General features: G+C 49.5%; 3 annotated features.

Moving 5' to 3' along the window:
* Positions 11,072 to 11,366: an enhancer, noted in NCBI's record as "tiled region #15353; HepG2 Activating DNase unmatched - State 1:Tss, and K562 Activating DNase unmatched - State 8:EnhW". NCBI's record gives its function as "activates a minimal TATA promoter and a strong SV40 promoter by Sharpr-MPRA in HepG2 and K562 cells {active_cell/tissue: HepG2 | K562}" and the evidence as "EXISTENCE:reporter gene assay evidence [ECO:0000049][PMID:27701403]".
* Positions 11,072 to 11,386: a biological region, named in NCBI's record as "Sharpr-MPRA regulatory regions 13021 and 15353".
* Positions 11,092 to 11,386: an enhancer, noted in NCBI's record as "tiled region #13021; HepG2 Activating DNase unmatched - State 1:Tss, and K562 Activating DNase matched - State 8:EnhW". NCBI's record gives its function as "activates a minimal TATA promoter and a strong SV40 promoter by Sharpr-MPRA in HepG2 cells, with weaker activation in K562 cells {active_cell/tissue: HepG2 | K562}" and the evidence as "EXISTENCE:reporter gene assay evidence [ECO:0000049][PMID:27701403]".

Raw genomic sequence — 19,086 nt, forward strand, 5'->3', positions numbered from 1 at the left:
GCTGAGTGATTTGCCCGAGGCCACCCAGGCAGCGGGACAAGCTGAACTGCAGTCGGCTGTAACCTCCTAACCTCAGGTCTCCTCTACCTCCATCCCTAACATGGGGAAAGGCAGCCCTTTCTCCAAGGGCTTTGGAAGGCAGGCAGGCCACTGATCCAGTTGGGACTGACCCCCAGGCCAGAGGCCAAATGGGATGACCCCTGGGAGTTTCCCATCATCCCAGGATGCTGGGGTTCTTTAGTACATTGAACCAGACCTCTTTCACTTTCAGGACAGGCTGTAAAGCTCTCCATTGTTTGTCACAGCAGTTTAAGGCCAAAGAGGCCTCTCTCAGTGAGAAATCAGGTGCAGAGTGGGGTGGTGGGCAGCAGCCCTTTTGGGGCTGCCCAAAAGGAAGGATCGGGCACAGAGGGCTGCAGTTTCCACCTATTCTACAAACAGGAGCACCCCCCTGAGCTAGACCCTCTGCTGGGTGTGAGAAGTCCCAGGAGTGAAAGAGACGTGTTTTACTTTCAGTAAATAACTGATCAAAATGGATGGAGTGATTTGCAGCAAATCTTTTAAAGTATTCTGGGATTCAGTTTCCCCATCTTGTTTTGTTTGTTTGTTTTTGAGACAGAGTCTTGCTCTGTTGCCAGGCTGGAGTGCAGCGGCACGATCTCAGCTCACTGCAAGCTCTGCCTCCCAGATTCAGGTGATTCTCCTGCTTCAGCCTCCCGAGTAGCTGGAACTACAGGTGCACACCACCACGCCCGGCTAATTTTTGTATTTTTAGTAAAGACGGGATTTCACCACGTTGGCCAGGACGGTCTCGATCTCTTGACCTCGTGATCTGCTCACCTCAGCCTCCCACAGTGTTGGGATTACAGATGTGAGCCACCACGCCCGGCCTCCCCCACATCTTTAAGATGGGAATCTGATCTGATGCTCGAGGAAGCCTGAAAGGCCACAGAGAATCAAGTCTCAGGGAGCAGCCACAGATGCTGCCTATTGCCACAGATGCAGATGATTCACAGATTGGAGAAACAACAATATAATTCTGCAGCACAGTACCAGCCATGGGAGTGCTCGAGAAATGGTCATGGGTACTCTTAATATTACTTTGTGGTGGTGGTGATTGCTTTTTGTTTTTTTGAGACGGCGTCTCACTCTGTTGCCCAGGCTGGAGTGCAGTGGTGCGATCTCGGCTCACTGCAACCCCCACCTCCCGGGCTCAAGTGATTCTCTTGCCTCAGCCTCCCGAGTAGCTGGGATTACAGGCACCTGCCACAATGCCCAGCTGATTCGGTGGTGGTTGCTTTTGAGATGTCTTTCTGACCTCAGGTCCCAGGCTGGAAATTCTATATAGCAACCTTCTTTCCCAGCTTCCCACAGATTATGGGGATAGAAGAAATGACATTTATTAAGCACCTGCTGGCACTGTGTTGGACACTTTGCATGTGTTATCCCATTTAACCCTCATGATTTCCTAATGTGATAGCTAATACCTTCCCTCCCTCCCATTTTAGAGATGAGAAAATTGTGGCTCAGAGAAGTTAGGCACCTTGCCCAAGGTCACACTGTTCTTAATGTGCAGAATGTTACAGGTATTAGAATGTGCATGAAGCTTTATTCATAATAGCCAAAAACTGAAAAAAAATCCAGCTACTTATCAGCAGGAGAAGGGTTGAATGACTTGTGGAACGTTCATATGATGGAGTACTCTATAGCAGTGAAAAATAATGAGTTACCGATACAAACAGCAACATGGACAATAGACAGACATAAGTTGAGCAAATGAAGCCAACATAAAAAGATATATACTACATGATTCTATTTATATGAAGTTCACCAACAAAACTAATTTGTGGTGGTAGGGGTCAGAATAATAATTACCTTGGCCGGGTGCAGTGGCTCAGTCCTGTAATCCCAGCATTTTTTTTTTTTTTTTTTTTTTTTTTGTGAGACAGAGTCTTGCTCTGTCGCCAGGCTGGAGTGCAGCGGCGCGACCCCAGCTCACTGCAAGCTCCACCTCCTGGATTCAAGTGATTCTCGTGCCTCAGCCTCCCGAGTAGCTGGGATTACAGGCACGCGCCATAACACCCAGCTAATTTTTGTATTTTTAGTACAGACAGGGTTTCACTATGTCGGCCAGGATGGTCTCGATCTCCTGACCTCGTGATCTGCCCACCTCAGCCTCCCAAAGTGCTGGGATTATTGGCACCTGGCCAATCCCAGCACTTTGAGAGGCCTAGACAGGTGGATTGCTTAAGGTTGGGAGTTCGAGACCAGCCTGGCCAAAATGGCGAAACTCCATCTCTACAAAAAATACAAAACTTAACCAGGCATGGTGGCGGGTGCCTGTAATCCCAGCTAGCTACTTGGAAGGCTGAGGCAGGAGAATCGCTTGAACCCAGGAGGCGGAGGTTGCAGTGAGCCGAGATTGCGCCACGCACTCCAGCCTGAGCGACAGAGCAAGACTCTGGCAAAAAAAAAAAAAAAAAAAAAAAAAAAGAATAATCGTTACCTTAAGGTGATGAGGGGATGAGCTTGAGCTCATGGTGATTGTGGTATGAGGGGACTTCTGGGGGTGCTGGAAGTGCTTTATCTTGATCTAAGTGGTTAGTGTTATGTGAGTGTGTGTATACTATGTAAAAACTCATCCCGCTGTACCCTTAAGATTTTTCTTAACAAAAGAGAAAGTCAATAAATAAATGTCTCATATATATCATTTTAAAAGATGCAGGTCTAAGATTCGGGTAGCTCAGTTAACTCCGGCTGTGCATCCTGGCAGGAAGTGGGGCTGGGGAGGCCGACCCTGCCCACTATCCCTTTGAAGGCACACGTCCTGAGTCTTTGCTCAGGGACAGGGGTGTGAGCTTCCAGTCCCCAGCAGCACACCCTGCTAGCAGCTCTGCTTCCTGTGTCCACCCGGCAACTCGTGGGTAGGGGCACGTTTTCTCCAAGCCGCCCCTGGTTTTGAATTGGGTGGGGTGAGTTCAATAAGACCTTCTTAGGCTTCCCGGGAGGAGGCCTGGGGATGGCAGGAGGCTGGGAGGCCGGGAGAGAGACATTTCTGTGCATTTTGATGGGCCCTGAAGAGCATTCTCCCTGAGTGCTCAATGATATGCCAGAGCATGTCTCAAATGCGGAGGATGGGGAGGCCGGCTCCCTGGCAGATCTTCATGGAGAAGCTGACTCCAGCCGGCTTGTGTGCCCGTCCCAGAGGAGCGGAAACAGAGCCGAAGCCCACACCCCCAGGGCCCAGGCCCAGCCCTTCCAAGTCCGGAGCTCACCCAGCCTGCCCCTCGGCTCCTTCATCCTCCTCCAGACACCGTCCCTTCTTCTGTCTCTGCATTTCCCATCCTCTCCGCCCCTCCCTGTGCTGCTCTGTCTCCACCTCCCTGCCCCTGTCTCTCCATCTCCATCTCTCATTTCTCCCCCAGGCCCCCTGCTCCCCGCTTCCCCGGGCTGTGCTTCCTCTCTAGCCCAATATAAATAATAGAAATTAATTTGTCAGCCAGCACACGCAGCCCAGGCGGCGCAGTAGCGAGCTGAGGAGGAAAGCTGGTCGAAATAATTATTCTTGACTTACGAAATCATTCTTTTTATTCCTGAAGGCTAATGTGCGAGCAGCGCCGGGCCGGGCTGTGCTAATGGCGGACAGCGTGGGCCTGCGGAGGGCGCGCAGCCTCTTCTGTCCTCCTGTAATGAGCAGAGCCCCCACTCACAGCCCATCCCACTCTTCATTTAAAAGGCAAATGAAGCGTGGAGAGGCACTCTCTCGGTTAATGCAGTCACAGGTGTGGTTTTAAACAGGATTTGTCCTCAGGAGCACTCCCTCTGTCCCGAAGTTCCCGTCTCAGAGCGCGCGCTCTCCCCAGGTCAGCTCCAGGCAGGTGTGGGGAGGAAGCCCCTCCGCAAGGGGAAGGAGCCGATGGTTACCGAGGCTCTGCCGTAGGCCAGGCACTGTGCCACGCACGCGACTCGCGAGCACGCGTTGAATCCTTGCAAACATCCCGGGAATGAAGTCGGACAATTATTCCCACTTTTCCCAAGAGAAAACTGAGAGCATAAGCAACTTGTGCAAGCTCAAAGGGAAGAATCACCAGTGACCAAGGGAGATCTACAAACTCTCTCGCCCCGCAAGAGGGTGGAGGGAGAGGGAGGCGGTGGGGGGTTGAGGAGTGTATCAGTCAGTCCTGGCAGGGAACACAGGAAACACGCCAAGGTTTCATTGAAGGGGCATAAATGAAGAGGCTATTTACAGAGGTGGGGGGCAGCTTTAAGGAAACTATGATAAAGCACCCAGGGTGGCTACCATCCCAGGAGGAGAGGGAAAGGGCGGGAGCTGTGGCCATGGGAGCTGGCAGCCCCCGCAACAGGAGCTGCAGCCTACAGCCTTGGTAGAGAAATGTAGCCGCTGCCCAAACTGCCGCCTGGCAGCGAGGGAGGGGGTGGATAGACGCCCTGGGCTTTATCTCCTCCTGCCTTCAGATCTACAGCAGTGCCTCCCATTGCCTGCATCCAATTAAAAGCCAGAGGGCAAGAGAGTCCAGTGATGCAGTCGTAGAGGTCAGCCTTCCAGGCACAAAGCAAAGTGGAGGACAGAAACCAGCACCAGATGAGATGTTCTCCTGGAAGCTTTGGGAAAGGCCATCTCAGTCCCATAGAGACTGGAGACTTTAGGAAGAGAGAGCCCCCAGTCTTGGAAAAACAATTCCTAATAGGAGAGACACCAGTTCCTGTTCATAAGAGGTACCAAGTTGGGCGTCCTTGGACCCAGACATAAGCTGGGGAGCCAGAGAAACCTGGATGGAACAGGGACCCTAAGAAGTGGCTGAATAACCACCAGGAGAGAGGGAGTGGCTTCCTGAACAGGAGCTGACCTGCAAGACCGGAAGAGGGAGGAGGAGAGGAGCTGGCTGAGTGATGAACAGGGGCCAGCACTGAAGTACTGGGAAGAGATGAGGGGCTACAGCGTTGGTGGCAGGGGAGCGCAGAGCCTGCATAAAAGCATCCAGGTAGGAAAAGGTGTCTGGAGAGGTGGGCAGGCAGGGACGGGGGACCCAGGATGACTCCTGGGTCTACCCAGCAGGAGGCTGAGGTCATGAGTGAGCTGTGGGCTGAGTGAATCCGTCTCCCTGCTTCATTTTGGAGGTGAGGCAATGTGGCCAGAAAAGGCTATGATTACCCCAAGCCCACATGGGAACGGCTGGGTGGGCTGCCAAGCCGGCGAGGTGAGTGGCAAGGCCTATGGCTGGAGTGCCCAGCTGGCCTCCCTGCTGCATCTGCGGCCCCTCATCCCATCCATCTTCCTCCCACACAGCAGCCACCGGGATCTTTCCAAAACACGAGCCCGATCACGTCACTCACACTTGAGCCCACTGGATGCTCTCCACTGCACGGATCAAGTCTAAAGTCCTTCACTCCTTCCAAGGCTGACAGGAGGGCCATCAGCCCCCCTACACTTCCCCGTATTGAATCATAGCGTCTTATGTCTGCGCCTTGTGCAAGTTCCCTCAACTTGAAATTCTCCTGCCTGCCCACTCGGGCCCCATCTGGCGCCCAGCCTCGCTGTACTGTCACTTCCCTCGGGATCCTTTCCCAACACTCCTCTGCCTTTCTAGTTCTCCCGTTATAAAACTTACCAGGAGACAAAGGCACCTGTCTGTGTTCTTATCTTTGTCTCCCTGACTGTAAACCCCAGGAAGGCAGTAACTTTGGCTGGGTTGTTGTTACAACCTCACTGCTCAGCAAACGCACAGTGCCTGGCACTTAGTAGGTGCTGCATGTACGTGTTATAATCCATTCAAGGGAACAAGCGAGGAAAGCTTGATGTGTGCTGACATGGAGCCACCACCACGACACACTGTCAAGAATTCAGGACAGGCTGGGCACGGTGGCGCATGTCTGTAATCCTAGCACTTTGGGAGGCCAAGGCGGGCGGACCACTTGAGGTCAGGAGTTTGAGACCACCCTGGCCAACATGGTGAGACCCCCATCTCTACTAAAAATAAAAAAATAGCCGAGGGTGGTGGCGCAAGCCTGTAATCCAAGCTACTCGGGAGGCTGAGGTAGGAGAATCACTTAAACCCAGGAGGCGGAGGTTGCAGTGAGCCAAGATCGCGCCATTGCACTACAGCCTGGGTAACAGAGTGAGACCCTGTCTAAAAAAAAAAAGAATTCAGGACAGTGTGTGTTTGTATAAAACAGAATATACGTGTATTTATGGATCTGTACATAATATCTTCACAAGCAGACTGAAGAAACTGATAAGGTGATTGTCTCTGAGAAGAGCTGGGTGAGTGGAGATAGGAGTAGAAAGACATGATTAACACTAAGTGGGAAATATTTAATAATTAATTGGGGCTGGGCGTGATGGCTCACACCTGTAATCCCAACACTTTGGGAGGATGAGGCAGGCAGATCACTTGAGCTTAGGAGTTGAAGACCAGCCTGGCCAACATGGTGAAACCCCCATCTCTACAAAAAAAGAAAAAAAAAATTAGCTGGGCGCAGTGGCACGCACCTGTAATCCCAGCTACTTGGGACGCTGAGGCACAAGAATTGCTTGAACCTGGGAGGTGGAGGTTGCAGTGAGCTCAGATTGTCCCACTGCACTGCAGCCTGGGTGACAGAGCAAGACTCTGTCTCAAAAAAAAAAAAAAATAATGATAAAAATAAAGGGGTGGCCTGGACACCCTGGAGTGTGGAATTATGGGTTTGGTTTGGAGCAACTTGCCACTGCCACCCACTCCTCCTGGGATGTCCAGCCACCAGTCACCCTAGTTGAGATGCCCAGGTTGTCCCAGGTGCCATCCCAGATCTGAGGTGGACCCTAGGGGTTGGTGCAGACAGCAGCCAAGTGAGTCTTCCCTAAGTGAGGAGGGTCTGGTAGAGCTGTCTCGGGGCTCAGAAGAAAGGCAGGGAAGTGGGGCCTAGAGAGAGTGTCATTTACCTCCCTGCTCCACTGTACAGATCAAGTCTAAAGTCCTTCACTCCTGCCAAGGCTGACAGGAGGGCCATCCTGCTGGCTCTCCACTTCCTCTGAGGACAGAGGGCTGGGAAGAAACTCAAACAGGAGGGATGGAAGTTAGATAGCAGAGAGAACTTCCCAGAAGTAAAGTTCTCAGATCAATGGAATCACACTGTATGTGATTTTGTTGTGCCTGTTTACTTTCACTCAATACCATGTCTGTGAGATTCATCCATGTTGTTGCATGTGGTTACAGGAATTCTCTTCATTACTGAGTAGTACTTCATTGTATAATAAAGGAAAGGGCGGAGCTACGATTTGTTGGTGGTCTGTTCTCATGGTACCTCAGGGCTGGCTAGAGGGCAGGGACTCTGTTCTCTCTTTCCCACATAGTAGAGGAACTGTGTGTGTTCTTTCCCTTGAACTGGGACTAATAATCATAGTTCTGCAGGGCATCACATCAAGTGCAAGCAGTCCACCTCTCCTTACTGCCCCCTCACTCCATTGCTGCCTCTTACCCCAGGTCTCCACTGCATTAACTTCTACCCTCTGCACTCCCAGCCAGCTACTAAACATGGGAAATTGTCTTAAAGCAAAAACCACATGGAAAATTGTACTGAAAGGGTTCAGCCCTTCTCAGGGTGGCCAGCAGAGGTCTGTGGGGTGGGGGAAGGGTAAGGAAGGTGGTGTCGTGGACACAGAAAAGAAGGAAAGCTTCCAAGTTTCTTCTCCCCTGGGGAGCGATGTGGGGAAAGACAAAACTTTCGAAGGACTCCATACACCCCCATAACCAGCCCAGTGACTACACACATCTTCCTGTCTTCCTTCCCATACATGGGTACCCATGCTGATATGTCATGGCTTTGGTCACCAGATTAGCGGAGAAGCCCGTCCCCAAACCAAACTCCTACTCCAACCTAGGGAAGAGGAGGGCTGGCTCTAACACCAGCTCTCAGCTAACTCACCAGGGGATCTTCTACAAGCTCCTCAACCCTCAGGACTTGTTTCCTCAGCAGTAAACTGCAGTAAACCCTGGAGGTTTGATCGAGATAAAGAGCCAGCAAGGGCCTCGAACACCACCTCTTCTTGAAAGAAATATGGCAGCTCATTCTTTGGATGGGGGCATGGGTGGTGCCATTTGTTCAGTGTGTCTGGAGAGAATCCCAGAGCACAAACCAGCATGCCCAGGGCAACATTCCTTACTGATGACTTAGGGGATGGTTGGGGAAAAAGGGCACCCACCTGCTCCTAGAAAGGGGCTGGAGTATGGAACAAGTAAGTGTCCATCCTGCCCTCTCTGAGAGCCACTGCTGTCCACCTGCTCAGCACTCCCTGCCCTTTTCTTAGGCAAAGCTTTCCTTTACCCATCCTGCTTCAGGTGGCCATGGCTGAGAGTGTGCACAGGGGATCTGGGGGAGCAGCAAGACACATGTAACACCCTGGGAAACATTACCATTATTTTTTTTCTTGATATATAACATATATGCAGTAAAGTGCATAAGGCTCAACGGTACAGCTCAATTAGTTTTTACATGTGTGTACTTTCATGTAACCATCACCCAGATCAAGATAGAGAACATTTCCACATTTCCAGCTCCTCAAAATGTATATGCCCCTTCCTAGTCAACACCCCCCAAAAGGTAGCCACAGTTATGATTTCTATTGCCATAAATTAATATGGTCTCTTCTTGGACTTCATATAAATGGAATCACACTGTATGTGATTTTGTTGTGCCTGGTTACTTTTATTCAATATCACGTCTGTGGGATTCATCCATGTTGTTGCATGTGGTTATAGGAATTATTTTCATTACTGAGTAGTGCTTCATTGTATAAATATATATACATGTATGTATCACAACTTTTTAATTTTGATTTTTTTTTTTTTTGAGATGGGGTCTTGCTCTGTTACCCAGGCTGGAGGGCAGTGGCACAACCATAGGTCATTGCAGCTTCGACCTCAAATGATCTTCCCACCTCAGCCTCCCAAGTAGCTAGGACTATAGGTGCATGCCACCTCACCCGGCTAATTTAAAAAGAAAAAAATTTGTAGGCCAGGCGCACTGGCTCACGCCTGTAATCCCAGCACTTTGGGAGGCCAAGGGGGGCAGATTACCTGAGGTCAGTAGTTAGAGACCAGCCTGGCCAACATGGTGAAACCCCATCTCTACTAAAAATACAAAAATTAGCCAGGCGTGGTGGCACGCTCCTGTAATCCTAGCTACTTGGGAGGCTGAGGCAGGAGAATCGCTTGAACCCGGGAGGCAGAGGTTGCAGTGAACCAAGATCATGCCACTGCACTCCAGGCTGGGCAACAGAGTGAGACTCCATCTCAAAAAAAAAAAAAAATTGTAGGGATGGGGTTTTACTATGTTGCCCAGGCTGGTCGGAAACTCCTGGGCTCAAGCAATCCACCTGCCTCAGCCTCCCAAAGTGCCGGGATTATAGGTATGAGCCACTGTGCCTGGCCCAATCACAGTTTATTTATTTAACTTCTTGTTGGTGGACACTTGTGTTGTCTCCATTCGTTAGCTATTCTTTTTCTTTTTTTTTTTTTTTGGAGACAGAGTCTCACTCTGTTGCCCAGGCTGGAGTGCAGTGGCATGATCTTGGCTCACTGCAACCTCCACCTCCTGGGTTCAAGTGATTCTCCTGCCTCAGCCTCTCAAGTAGCTGGGATTACAGGTGCCTGCCACCATGTCTGGCTAATTTTTTGTAGTTTTAATAGAGATGGGGTTTCACCATGTTGGCCAGGCTGGTCTCAAACTCCTGACCTCAGGTGATCAACTCACCTCGGCCTCCCAAAGTGCTGGGATTACAGGCATGAGCCACCATGCCCGGCCTTGTTAGCTATTCTTAATGAAGCTGCTGTGAGCATCCTTGTACCTGTCTTTTGAATAATTCATTATTTTGAGACACATTTCTGACTTTTAAAATAAATGGCAACATACCATTTCCACCTCCTTCCACTGGGTTGTGCCATGCTGGGATGAGATTACTACAACACTACATCATGAACGTATCTGTGGGAGAAGAGGACAGCCTCAGGACCCCCTGGACGGGCCCTAGAAGCCTCCAAATACAGTCTTGGGTCTTCATGCCATGCATGGCACAGCTGAAGCCCTGACCAAGGTCTTCGCCATGAACCTAGGGGTGGGGAAAAGCAGAAAGGGTTTCTAAACCCGCTAGCCTGTACCTAGCCTGGATTTTATGTATGGCACAGATTTAGTTTACAGATGAGGAAACGGGTTTGGGGAGGTGGAGTGACCTGGGTTCAAACCATGGCTCTGCCAGCTGTTAACTGTGTGGTCTCAGACAAGTTTAACTAAGTTCTCTGACCCTCCATTCCCTCACCTAGAAAAATGGGGATAATAATATTTACCTCGCAGTGTTGTCAGGAGAATTAAATAACAGATGTAAATCACCTTGCATAGCACTTGGTGTCTATAATAATGGTTTCTTTTTCTTGTTTGTTTTCTGCTCAAGGTCACATAGCTAGTAAGCTGAAAAACTCAGAAACAGAGCTTTTGAAGGGAAGGAGGAAAGAGTAAAAAGGAACAGTTTGGGGTGCCAAATTAGGGACTATGACAATGCTTTGTGTCTTTATACCTCTAGTATCCCCCATAATGCCTGGCATACAGGGGCCACTCAATACATGCTTATTGAAGGTTTGAATGGATAAGTGAACAAATAGATCCAGAAATTCACACTAAGATTGCTTTCAAGCCTTGATTTAGACTGGCTACCAAGTGGGATTTATTGGGATGGAGAAACCAGCTTGGGGACAATGGGGTTGCTGGGTATCAGTAATGAATGATCCGCTGACAGGCTCTCACCTCAGCCAGGAGGGTTTGGGCCCAGTAGACAATCAGGTTGAGTTAGAGAGTACATGTCAGGGAGCAGGGAGAAAGGGGCTGCTGGAAAGAGAAAGAGGACTTGGGAGCAGGTGCCTAAGGGAGGGTAGGGGAACCATTTGGTCAAGGAATGGAAGTCTCGCTGGGACTATCAAATGTAGAGGCTCTGGGGGCTGGGCATAGTGGCTGGATCAAGAGGTCAGCCAGGGCACCTGGGAGATAACACTGCCATCCCTGTTCTCCTGTAGACCCAGGGGCTGGACAAGCAAGTTTGCAAAGAATATGCAGCAGCCAGGCAGGGGAGCCACTCTGGGATTCCTGCCCCCGCCTCCAGAAGGCGGGGTTTGTTCTCCAGCTCATTCATTCTTTGGGATGACTCATTACTGAGTTGTCATGTTGTCATCGAGTGCAGAGTTACAGGGAGGAGGGGCAGCCTGTCTCGCCCATCTGTGCACAGGCAGTCCTGGCAGCACTGCAACTGGAGAGTTCCCAGGCTGGCCACATGGGGGCGGGGGGAGCCAGGCCTGACATCCTGGCCATCTGGGCGACTCCAGTTCTGGGAAGAGCACTGGACTGGGAGTCAGGGGCCTGACTTCCTGGGCCTCCTACACCCTGGCCACCCTCTGTGCCTCAGCTAATTCCAAAACAGAAATGATGATACCTCTCCTGCCTAAAACCAGGACGTCTCATCCCTCATTTGTGTTTATACCTTAATTTGTGTGTCAGAGAAATCTCCCTGGTAGTTAGCCATACTCCAGTTTTGTTCGCCCGGAGGACTTAGGGCAACTAGTTTTCTTGAGATTACATCTTGCAGATCCATCCCAGGTGCAGATAGGGGATGAGAGAACACTGCGGTGCCAGGCAGGCCCTGTGCGAAATGTTTCGCTCTCACCAACCCTGTAGCCCTCACAATCACCTTTTAGGATGGACTTGAGAATGAGGGGCATCTTTTCTGTTTGTTAACTTTTTTTTTTTTTTTTTTTTTGAGATGGAGTTTCACTCTTGTCGCCCAGGCTGGGGTGCAATGGCGTGATCTCAGCTCACTGCAACCTCCACCTCCCAGGTTCAAGTGATTCTTCTGTTTCAGCCTCCCAAGTAGCTGGAATTACAGGCATCTGCCACCACATATGGCTATTTCTTTTTTTTTTTTTTTTTTTTTTTTTGTATTTTTAGTAGAGATGGGGTTTCACCATGTTGGCCAGGCTGGTCTCGAACTCCTAACCTCAGGTGATCCACCCATCTCGGCCTCCCAAAGTGCTGGGATTACAGGCATGAGCCACTGCGCCTGGCCTATTTGTTAACTTTTATATTGGGCTATAACTTACATGTTAGTAAAGTGCCCTTATCTTAAGTGCACATACAGCCGGATGAATCTTTAAATGTATGTACACCTGTGTAACCGCCCTCCACATCAAGATACAGAGCATTTCCAGCATCCCCTATGCTTTGCCCCAGTCAAGGCTGCCCTGTAGGTAACCTGTATTCCTACCTCAAAATAGTATTTTTGCCCATTACATAGATGAGGATACTGAGGCTCAGATATGTACAGATGGATACTGATGCTCACGATAAACTGCTGTGCCCAAAGCCACATAGCTAGAAATACTACTGTTAATGCTTTTGGAGGCAGAGGGTGGTGGGAGAACTTGAAAGAGGATGTAAGACTGCTGGAACCAAGACTTCCCATTCAGCAGCTGTCCAGCATCATCTGCGCATCCTTGCACCCTCGATCTTCAGCACCCACACTTCTCATTGCACCCAGCTTTAGGCAGGAAATGCTTTTGCCTCTGCTGGCCTAGGCTACACCCTCCCTGGCTCTCTGCTTCTTGTCCCTGCTGGTGCCAGAGTGCCTCCCCTTGACTGGAGGGTCCCCTCAGGAGAACAGAACCCTGCCCAATCCCAAAGGGTTAAGCCTGAAAGCCTTTACTGAAGAAGTGATTGAGGCTAAATTCTAGGAGCGAAATGCAGCAGTTTCCTATTCGCAGCTGATAAGCCCTCTCCATAGCCCAGCACTGGGCCACCTTGGAGTGCTGCTGCAAACTGTCTTGTCACGAGGAAACTATGCTCCCTCCCAGGTCCTCCCTGGGGGCCTGGCTGAACCCGGGCTACAGGATTCTGCCTCTTGAAGCTGTTGCCCAAGAAGTGACCTAAGTCCTTCTAGGAGACTTACCCCAACCTCTTCCTCTACAACTAGTGACATCACGCGTATTTGCCAGCCCCTCAAGGAGAGATAATCCACCCCTGTGGGACCTGACTCAGTATGTGCATTTTGATGCACAAGTTCCTGTTGATCTTGACCTCAGAACTCTCCTATCTCCAACTCCTAGCATACTCTACCCTCTCTTTAAAAAGTTGTAAATACCTTGCCCTATCCTTTTGATTAGAAGTGTCTCATAGAGATGGGCTTGAGTCCCAGCTTTGGCGAATTCTCCACTGTGTGGCCTTAGCTAGGTTACCTAACCTATCTGTGGCAAAGACTGCTAGGGTTGCCTCTCTTCTTCCACAGCAATAGAACTTCCAAATTTGGCTGGGTGTGGTGGCTCATACCTGTAATCCCAGCCCATTGGGAGGCTGAGGTGGAAGGATCACTTGAGCCCAGGAGTTTGAGTCCAGCCTGAGCAACACAGCGAGATCCCCTCTTTAAAAATGAAAATTTATGGGAGGCTGAGGCAGGCGGATCACTTGAGGTCAGGAGTTCGAGACCAGCCTGGCCAACATGACAAAAACATGTCTCTACTAAAAATATAAAAATTAGCTGGGTATGTTGGTGCACACCTGTAGTCCCAGCTACTCAGGAGGTCAAGGTGGGAGAATCACTTGAACCCACGAGGTGGAGGTTGCAGTGAGCCAAGATTGTGCCATTGCACTCCAGTCTGGGTAACAGAGCGAGACTCCATCTCAAAAAATATAAAATAAAAATTAATTAATTAATTAAAATTAAAATTAAAAAAATAGAACCTCCAAATTTTGGCTTAGCACATGACCACCCAGAAGACATTTCCCAGATTCCCTTAGTGAACATATAACAAAGTTTTGGCCAATGGGACATAACAAGAAGTACCATGTGGCAGCTTTAGCAAAGCTTCCTTAAAAGTCATGCACCTGGCCAGACGAGGTGCCTCACGCCTGTAATCCCAGCACTTTGGGAGGCCGAGGCAGGTGGATCACGAGGTCAAGAGATCAAGACCATCCTGACCAATATGGTGAAACCCCGTCTCTACTAAGAATACAAAAATTAGCTGGGCATGGTGGCACACACCTGTAATCCCACCTACTCAGGGGGTTGAGGCAGGAGAATCCCTTGAACCCGGGAGGTGGAGGTTGCAGTGAGCCAAGATGGTGCCACTGCACTCCAGCCTGGCGACAGAGCGAGACTCTGTCAAAAAAAAAAAAAAAAGTCATTCACCCTTTGCTCCCTTCTTCATTCTTCCCTTCATCTCTACCTGGAACAAACATGATGGCTGGAACTCTAACTACCATCTTGGACCATGATAACAAGGGGCACGTCCTAGAGACGGTGGAGCAATGAGCCCAAAGGACTTGATGCGGCAGAGCTGCAATACCTGGACAGCTCACCTCTGGACTTTCACTTAAGTGAGAAATAAACTTCTCTCAGGGCCTCTGATACTTGCAACAGAACCTATTCCTAATATACCCTGTAAGTCTCAGTTTCTTGGTCTGTAAAATGGAGATAACATTTTAAGAGTAATTCTCTGAGGAGGATCAAGGAGGGTAACATACAAAAAGAGCATGGCATTCATAGCATGTGCTAATAAATACCTGTCCTCTCTCCCCACCCCAATGTCTGTACTCATTCAGTACAGCACTGAGCATCTGCTGTGTGTGCAACACCATGCTGAGCACTGGGAATACAGAAATAGAAGGTACAGTCATGACCCTCAAGCAGTGCCCAGGCCATGGGAGTCAGACTGGCAAACTGTCAATATAACAGAGAATACGATTACACACACACTTAAGAATGTTTGTTAGAACTCTGCTTGCAAGCAATAGAAACTAACTTAAGGACAAAGAGGGAAATGTGTTATTATAAAGACAGAGGAGTGTCTTGTGGAATCCAAAGATACCATCACAACTTGGCCCCAAAATACATAGTCTTTGCCCAAAATGAGCTTAGATTATAGGACCAGCCTCAGGTTGAGTTTGACTCAGGCCCCCTACAGACAGCTTTCTCGCGCTCTCTTTCTCTCCATTTCTTTTTTTTTTTTTTCTTTTGAGGCAGGGTCTCACTCTGTCACCCAGGCTGGAGTGCATAGTACAACCACAGCTTACTGCAGCTTCTACCTCCCATGCTCAAACGACCCTTCCACCTTTGCTCCAAAGTAACTGGGACTACAGGCATGCACCACCACACTTGGCCTTTTTTTTAGAGACGGGGTCTCACTATGTTGCCCAAGCTGGTCTCCAACTCCTGGGCTCAAGTAATCCTCCCACCTCGGCCTCCCAAAGTGCTGGAATTACAAGTGTGAGCCACTGTGCCCAGCCTCTCTCAATTTCAAATTCCTAGGTAGAGCCTCTGAATGTCAAAGTTCTGGGCAGGTGCACCCTGATCCAATCCCAGGGTCACAGTAAACTAACTTGGTCCCTGGGAGACCATCCCTGGAGAAGGAAAGAGTGGGGAACAATTTAGGGAATAATAGAGGATTGGGTAACTAGCCCCACAGGAGTGTAAGTGATAAGGAGGAGGAACCACAGAGACCAAGATGAGATCAAGGTGTACTTATTCTCAATTCAGAGTCTTACAACTAATAGTAGGAATAATGATGGTAATGATAAGACCTATGCCATAGCCAGGCATGGTGGAGAACTCCTACAACCCCAGCTACTAGGGAGGCTGAGGCAGAAGAATCGCTTGAGGCCAGAAGTTAGAGACCAGTCTGAGCAGCATAGCGAGACCCTGTCTCAAACAAACAAACAAACAAACAAACAACAACAAAAAATACCCATGTCATATGGAGAACTTATTTGTTGCTGGGTGTTGTTAGAAGCATTTTAAGTGTATGAGCTCATTTAGTCTTCAAAACAGCACTGTGAAGCCAGGCATGGTGGCGCATGTCTGTAGTTACAGCTATTTGGGAGGCTGAGGTGGGAGGATTGCTTGAGTCCAGGAGTTACAGGATATAGTCAGCTATGATACCACCACTACACTCCAGCCTGGGCAACATAGTGAGACCCTATCTCTAAAACAACAACAAAAACAGCCCTATAATTAGGTATTATCATCACACTCACTTGACAGATGAGGACACTAAGGCAAAGTGATTTATTAACTTAGTCAAGGTTGCACATTCAGAAGCCAGGATTTGAATCCAGGCAGTATGGTTTCAGATTACTTTTGTAACCATTGCACTGTTCTTTCTCACCCTCATCAGGTTACAGAGATTTTACTGTGTGTCCCAAAGTGAGTGTTTGAGCCTTGGCCCTGACCCCACATGCATGCACAGCAGGACTCGGGTGTGTGCCATTTTCTATTTGGCTTCTAGCCCAGGCTCAATCACAGAAAACTGTCTGGGATAAAATGCCTGACCCTAGGCCGGGTACGGTGGCTCACGCCTGTAATCCCAGCACTTTGGGAGGCTGAGGCAGGCGGATCATGAGGTCAGGAGATCGAGACCAGCCTGGCCAACATGGTGAAACCCTGTCTCTACTAAAATTACAAAAATTAGCCAGGCATGGTAGCACATGCCTGTAATCCCAGCTACTCAGGAGGCTGAGGCAGGAGAATCGCTTGAACCAGGGAGTCGGAGGTTTCAGTGAGCCGAGATCACGCCACTGCACCCCAGCCTGGTGACAGAGCGAGACTCCGTCTCAAAAAAAAAAAAAAAAAAAGAAAAAAAATGCCCGGTCCTGGCTACATGAGGTCTCTATCAGCCCTTACTTCAGGGCCAACCATACCCAGGCCAAATTGTCCCAAACCCTTTTGCCTTCTCCCTTGTCTGCTATAAAACCTGCTCTGGTGAAAGTAGTTGAAACTCATTCTCACAAGGATGTAAATGACTGAGAAGAGCTTAAAATACTATCCTGCATTTAATAATCCTTAAAACCCAATCCTGGCTGAGACAGTGGCTCACACTCTGTCACCCAGGCTGGAGGGCACTGGCGCAATCACTGGTGCTCACTGCAGCCTCAACCTCATGGGCTCAAGTGATCCTCCGACCTCAGCCTCCCCAGTACCTGGGACTACAGGCGTGCACCACCACACCCGGCTAATTTATTTTTATTTTTTGTAGAGACAGGGTCTCACTATGTTGCCCAGGCTGGTCTCGAACTCCTGGCCTCAACAGATCCTCCCACCTTAGCCTCCCAAAGCACTGGGATTACAGGCCAGGGGCGGTGGCTCACAACTGTAATCCCAGCACTTTGGGAGGCCGAGGTGGGTGGATCACCTGAGGTCAGAAGTTCGAGATGAAGCCTAGCCAAAATGGCGAAACCCCATCTCTACTAAAAATACAAAAAAATTAGCCGGGTATGGTGGTGAGTGCCTGCAATCCCAGCTACTTGGGAAGCTGAGGCAGGAGAATCACTTGAACCACAGGAGGTGGAGGTTGCAGTGAGCTGAGATCACACCACTGCACACTCCAGCCTGGGCGACAGAGTGAGACTCCATCTAAAAAAAAAAACCCAAAGCACTAGGATTACCGATGTGAGCCACTAGGCCCAGCCACTATCACTGTTCCAGCACTTTAGGTATATTAGCTCATTTGACCCTCACAATACCCCTATGAAGTAGGTACTATTATTGTTCCCATTAAATGCTCGAGGAAACAGGCACAAGGTGATCAACTCAGCTCCTGTGGCTCCTCTCAGTCTACCCTGGTCTCTGTTAGAGCCCCATTTTGATTCTCTTCTCCTTCCAACCCATTGCTTTCTTTCTTCATCAGTCAACCATTGTACCTGGGCCTCGCGTTCTGCCTCCTGTTTCTGTCTGCCTCGCCTCCCCTCATCTGCTTAGAAAACACACATACACTTCCCCACTCTAGTCACTCATCATTCATCACAGTCAAAGAGGGGGAGCTGGCACAGTGGCCAAGCTCTGTGCCATCAATAGAGTGCTAATGCCCCCATCTTGAAGGAGGCTGTTGGAGAGAAGGCTGGGGATATGGACACCTGCTACTGGTGGAGACCGGGTAGGAGGGCAGTGCCATGGTGGGCAGAGAGTCTTGCTTCATCCTATTTGTCCTAAAAGGGCTTTGCAGTAAAAATGGCATGGATTCAAACCTTAGCTCTCCAGCAAGGGTCTGGAAAATCTGGATTCCTTACACTCCTGCAATTATTCCTGACCCCGTCCTGGGACACGGTAGGGAGAGAGAGTCCATGAAGTTCACTTTGTATGCCAGGCCCAGCTCCTAAGGATGAGGCTCCATTTGGAGCTGGGAGGCTGGGACAACCCAGGGAGGGCTGCGGCAGGAGGGAACAGGCAGGCAAGGGCCCAGGGAAACTGCGATACAAAGAGGGGTTCTGTAGAGGAGGTGGAGGAGTCACTGAGGGCAGAACTTCAGTCCTTGCCACTGCACTTTAAACCCACTCCTTTCCATCTGTCCTGAGAGGCTGGTGCACAGTGTCTACCGGTATGGAACGATCAAAGCGGCTCTTCTGTACACCTGGAAGGGATGAAGGCTGTATTTGAAAGTCACTGCCATGCTAACAGAGCGATGTGAAGATATGTGAAGTGCTCACCCATCTGTTCTATCACTGGATTCTTTATCATCTGCATTAGGGTGTCCTAGCATGGCAGAATTAGCAGGAAAAAAATTAGTCCAAAGACTTAGCACAAGAGCGGTTGGATCTGGATCAGCACATTACAATAAGTTAATAAGCCCAGCAGCCGTGGGTCAAATAAACATCCTACTGACACAAAGCTGGTTGATGGACAATTCTCCAGATTGAGTGTACTTTTGGACCATGGCTTTTTACTGACTTCCCAAAATCAGAAATTCTGGCAGGAACAGACTTTGGCAAGAGGCAGAAATACAGCCGAACACATACACACAAATCAGATTATGAGGAATTACAAAGGTGGGAGGTGGGATTTTAATTATTTTGTGATAGCGAATCCAGTAGGAGGTGGGGGTGCCTCCCCATCCCCTTTCCCTGCTCCTGTTGTATGTCTAGGCTCAGGCTTTGTCATGTGATTATAAACATGTTCTTTGATTTCCTCTGCGTAAACTGGAATGTTCTGGCCAGGCCTTCTTCTGGACCACATAAAAGCTTTAGGAGATGTATAAATAGAGTTAAAGTCACAGGATCGTTTCCCCA

Source organism: Homo sapiens, chromosome 6, assembly GCF_000001405.40.
Source record: "Homo sapiens chromosome 6, GRCh38.p14 Primary Assembly".
Taxonomy (NCBI): Eukaryota; Metazoa; Chordata; class Mammalia; order Primates; family Hominidae; genus Homo; species Homo sapiens.